Source organism: Homo sapiens, chromosome X (assembly GCF_000001405.40).
Source record: "Homo sapiens chromosome X, GRCh38.p14 Primary Assembly".
Lineage (NCBI taxonomy): Eukaryota > Metazoa > Chordata > Mammalia > Primates > Hominidae > Homo > Homo sapiens.
Window position 1 is genome coordinate 54897551 of NC_000023.11, and position 5928 is coordinate 54903478.

Sequence of the window (5928 nt, forward strand, 5' to 3'; positions counted from 1 at the left end):
ATAGCCGCAGAATACACATTGTTCTGATCAACATATGGAACATTATCCAGGATAGCCCATATTTTACGACACAAAACAAATCTCAACAAATTTTAACCCCAAAGATAGCCTCTGAAAAACTACTCAGCTCCTGAGAAACAAACTGACAAAACAGAATCTTGGACGCAGGACTAGCATTTACTGTGGACAAACAGGAGAAGGACCAAGAAGACCTAGACACTCTTACTAAGGTTCGTGCTGGTATAACTGGTGTTGATTCAATGCCTTCAACACACCCTCTCTACCTAGATCGCACCCCCTTTAACAAAACAAAACTAGAACAGAGGCCAAGGTCCCTCCTTCTCTAAGACGGACCAGAGGCCTTATGTTCTGGTTAAGGTATATTGATGTTGAGGACTTGATGACAACTGAGGTTGCCAAATTTTTTCAGCTCTTTTGAAAATTGCGACACAAGCCATCATGGTGCCGGGTAGCACACATGGGCATGTTTGAAAAATTATTTTAACTGGATTTGGAAATAGCTCTTAGATTGTACAATGGACTGATGTACTTTGTGAGTGGGTCCTTTGGGGCCAATGCACATTCAAGTGGTTGTAATGGATACTGCTGAATGTGTTGTGTTAAGTATGTGTAATACTTCTCTTGCTTATAAGGGATGTTTCCAATGGGGAAATCTTACAATTAGAGCAATGGTAAAAGGATGAGTACACAACTGGGAGCCCACCTGGCTCCCCTAGCCCAGCCATGTGGTGTCAGTGAAGCAGGGAAGGGGAAGACAGTAGAAAGAAAGATCTTGGTCTTGATTAAAGAGCTAGTAGAGATAGGAGTGCTTAAGGAAACTACCCCACAGGCTGTAAAGACTTCTTTACACTTGGGCCAGTGAGCCTTAAGGAGACCTTTGAGCTACAAGTCTCAGTGATTGACAATTACACAGACTGAAGCAAGTGACAAAAAGATGTAGCCACTAAGCAATAGTGCTCCCTGGGGTTTTGGATGCAGCACTTGCCTGACATGATCACATGGTATACCCCACTTGAAAGAGTATTACTGGCTTGTTATTGTGTGCTGGTAGATTCTGAGAGACTGACAAAGCAACAGCAGGTGTTGTTACACCTGACATCCCTACCATAGGATGGGTCAGAAATGAGAACACCAACAAAGTGGATGTTGTCCAATAAGCAATCATTATTAAATGGAAGTGGTATATTCAGGGAAAAATAAGGTAGTCATTATAGAATCTCACAGTTAAACGAAAGGTGGCTGGAAATACTCCAGATAAGCCTGTCTCAGATGTGGGGTCTGTGCTAGCACCTTGGGCGTCTTGGGGGCTTCAGTACACTGAGGTTCTTGAGAATGCTGGGACCTGGTTCACATACAGATAGGATACATTCAAGGCCAGCAGGTTGTGCTGGGACACTGCTGTGATGCAGCCCCAAAGAAAATTGTGCACTACAACTGCGCATGAGTAAGGGACCTCTGTTCAGTGGTGTATTTCCATGATGTTTGCCTTGGAAAATACACTGTTACATTTTCACTTACTCATGGGCAAGAACCAACAGGCTGGAAGAGTAGTGCCTGACAGTAAGATAACTGGATGACCAAGTCTCAGCCTCTGTGGAGACAAACATTATGGCAGCACATTGCACAAGACTCACAACCTCTGTGACCCACATGGACGCCCATGAAAAAGGACCCTTTGAGGATGAACATCAATGACAATAGCAAGCTGGTGAAATCTTCACTACCCATAAAAGGACACATGGATACAGATCCATTTGGATACAGCATCACTCAGGATATCGTAATCCATCTACAGTTCAGTACTGGGCCCAAAAAACAAGGGCTCATAATTTCAGAATATGAGACTAGGAAGCCTAGTGAATGTGCCCAGACTGACAACTACATAGCTGAGTGGCAAAGGGAGCTTTGGGGCATATAGCAAGAGGTAGCATACCTGGCTAGTCCTGGAAAATAGATGTATTAGTCCATTTTCACACTGCTATAAAGAAATATCCAAGTCTGGGTAATTTATAAAGAGGTTTAACTGACTCACAGTTCCACATGGCTTGGGAGGCCTTAGAAAACTTACCATCATGGAGGAAGGGGAAGCAGGCACCTACTTCACAAGGTGGCAGGAGAGAGAGAGAAAAGCCCATGGGGAAACTGCCATTTATAAAACTATCAGATCTCATGAGAACTCCCTCACTATCACAAGAACCCACGGGGGAAACTGCCCCCATGATCCAATCACTTCCCACCAGGTCCCTCCCTCAACACCTGGGGATTGCAATTCAAGATGAGATTTGGGTGGGGACACAAAGCCTAACCATATCGATAGAGTATATACCTCCCTAGTCTCCTCTTGAGGGTACTGCTGGACATTGACTTCCATAACTTTCAGGGTATGACATTGCCATCCCCATCTGCTTAGCAAATGTGGGCCATACCATTTAATGACTCTTAGATGGTCTATGTTACATATTTGGATACTCTAAACACATGATTAGACACAGATACTGCTTTTATAGCAAAAAGTATCCAATAGTGAGGAGCTACACAGATATTTATTGGACCTTTTATGCCCCGTATCATCCTAGGCAGCAGGCGTCATTGAAAGACAGAATAAACTCTTAAAGGAGAAGCAGAAAAAGATAACTGGACAACCAAGGGTCAGCTTCCAGTGGAGCACACACTTAAGTCAGGCAGTTTGGTCTGTGGCCCAAAAGGGTACCTCTCATTTAAATAGAATGCTTAATTATGAGGTTGGTGGGCATGGTGGGAGGGCGAAGAGGTCCTAACTGGCTTCAAGAGAATTAACCCTCATTCTACTTTTTTTCCTTTCACACCTACCCCTGGGAAACAGGGCTAATGGAATTTGTAAGCATCAAATAAAAAGTTGGGGGTGTTTGGGTGATTCTACATGATGCTTCTTTTGCTGCCCAGCTATGCTTTCTGAATTTGGGAAATTATGGATATTGATGATAATTATAAATATGAGGTGACAGCTCCTAAGGTGGTCCTCTGGCATGGCCCACGTGTTAGGGAGTAGAGATGTTCCAAGAACGTACAAAGACTATAAAAAGAAACTACTGAGCCACATAAGGATGAGATCAAGAACACAGTATGTGTAAGACATGGGTGAATTCAGAAAACAGTGAAGTGATTGCTACTGGAATTGGTTTTACTGGTCATGTGGCTACAGAAAGAGAAAAACAACCCCGAATGGTGGAGAGAGAACATCTTTAACTCTGGAGGGTCAAGAGTGGGGAGAAAGTCAATCAGCTTCTCTCTCTTATCCCTCAGTCCTTGTCCACAAGGCTTCTGGCCAATTTACCCCAGATTGCTTCCATAACCCACAACTTCTGATCAAGAAAAAAAAAAACACCTAAGTGTAAGATTTCTCAGAAATTTCACAACATCCACTGACTCCAGAAAGGAATAGCCTCCACTTTAAACAAAAGAACAAGATTAACTTTCTGAACACCAATATGATTCTCTTTAGCTTTATGTTGGGCACTTTTTTCATTTTTCACAGAATACTGTTTGTGCTAAACTCTCTAGAATGATCAGTAGTGGACAATCTTATTGCCCAGGACTTCCTGCTGGTTGATCAAGGTGGGGTGTGTGCAGTTGCCAACACTTCTTGCTGCAGCTGGATGACATATTTAACAGGCTTAGCTCTGTAGGGGGAGCCTGGTTGTGGTCTATCCTCCAAGCAGGCTTGAGCATCCTACTGGAGGTCCTAATCTTGTTCACCTCTGTACCTCAAGTATTTAACAATTTGAGAGTAATTAAATCAACAAATATAGTAACTTTATAGAAAAAAGAACCCTCATTCTCTCTTCCAGTCACTTTCTCCCCACCCCAGGTTGACCAAGATATAGAAATGCTTTGCATTTTTGAGCTTGTAATCGATGCATTCCACAGCTTCAAATGAATCTAAATGTTTACGGCATATTAGCCTTGTGATGAAAAGCACGGTCCCAGAAGTCTGGTATGCTGGGTTTGAATACTGAGTCTTCTGCTTACTGAATATGTAACTTTGAGCTAATTACTTAACCTTATCTTTAAGATGTGGTAATAATAATAGCTCTGTCATAAGGATAAATGTAAAAGGGACAGGCCGGGTGCGGTGGTTCGCGCTTGTAATCGCATCACTTTGGGAGGCTGAGGCAGGCAGATCACCTGAGGTCAGGAGTTTGAGACCAGTCTGGCCAACATAGTGAAACTCTGTCTATACTAAAAATACAAAAATTAGCTGGGCGTGGTGGTACACACCTGTAGTCCCAGCTACTTGGGAGGCTGAGGCAGGAGAATTGCTTGAACCCGGAGGCGGAGGTTGCAGTGAGCCGAGATTATGCCACTGCACTCCAGCCTGGGCAACAGACTGAAATTCCATCTCTAAATAAAATAAAATAAAATAAATAAATAAATAAATGGGACAGTCAACGTGAAAATCACTCTGTCTATTACAAAGTAATCTCACAACTTTTAGCTACTTCTTGTAATTTTTCCTAGGCACAAGTTTGAATTGATCATACTAACAGGAGCTAGTTTTTTGGGCTGTCCTGCATTGGTTAAGAGTGAGCAAAATCTTAGCCAAAATCTTAGCCTTTTTGGGTGACCAATTAACCCCAGTTTCCCAGGGACTTGTCTGATTTTAGTGCTGAAAGCCTTACATCCTGGGAACCCTCCTTACACATGGGCAAATCAGTATGATTAGTAATCCTACCCAGAATCTACATCTCCAGCCTGGATTTGTGGTCCTCTATTCTCTTTTTCATGTCTACAATTTTTTATATGGAGTAACTCCTGAATTATGATAACCAACTTTAAAAACATAAAATATCTCAATATGCTCCACTCAAGAATGTAAAGATTTACTGCAATTTTTGAGCTCTGAATTAATAGAAGCATGCTATCTTGCTAGGATAGGATTATTTAAACGTGTGAGGATGAATATTTTTCTGTCACTTCTCATGAAAAATTGAATTCTGAATGACTTGCATGGATCCACACAGGCCAAACAGGCAAAGGCTTGAACCACAGCTTATCTGAGTCATGGTTGAACACACTGATTCTCCCAGAATGTGAGGTGGTGGGAGGAATTGTCACAAAGCCAATTCCTACTTGCCTCTCTATCCCTCCAGAGAGGCTGTCATGAGAGTTTTTCATTACTTTTAAGGTTCTGAAAAGGTATAAAGCTTTCTGCCTCACCCCTATAAGAATAGAGCTGCAAAATATAAACCGCTTAGCTGTAGTCTGGAGTTGGCTCCTCAGCACTGGGTTATCCCACAGCTCATGTTGTAGTCATCTGGCTCCTTTTGTTTTGGTTTCATCCTTTCTTGTGTGCGGGACAAGGACTATGAGGAGCTGGCATCTTTGGCTGCCACACTCTTCCTTTCAGTGTCAATGTATGTAAGAAACTTTGTAAATCTAAAAGTAGCTCATTCTATCTACCAACCAAATCTGACACGCTTTTGCATTAGCTTGTCTTGTGTGTCCTTGACAAGAGATTTTAAGAGTTCTTTTTAAGAGGTCTTTATTATCTTGGTAATTGTGTTCACACTACCGAAGAATTAGAAGCCCCTTGAGGATTGGCAGCTGTCTTATTATTACATTATATCCTACCAGTATTTTTTGCAGCTACTGCTAGATTTTGTATGTCTTGGTCCTGGACTGCTAGAACTGTTTGTTGTACATCTTGGTGAGATGTGGCACACCTGCAGCCTTTCAGTTACCCAGAACTTTCAGTTTGAAATTTCCAGGAAAGTTTGGGAATAACGAATCTAACCTATTCACTTCAGCTGAGAAGTGAAAAAGTACGATCTGGGAGTTATGCATGGCAGTGGAGAACCCCACCTACAGGGATGTTTTGAAACTATATCAATGATTGAAAAATATTTTGTATAAAATAACAACAAAATA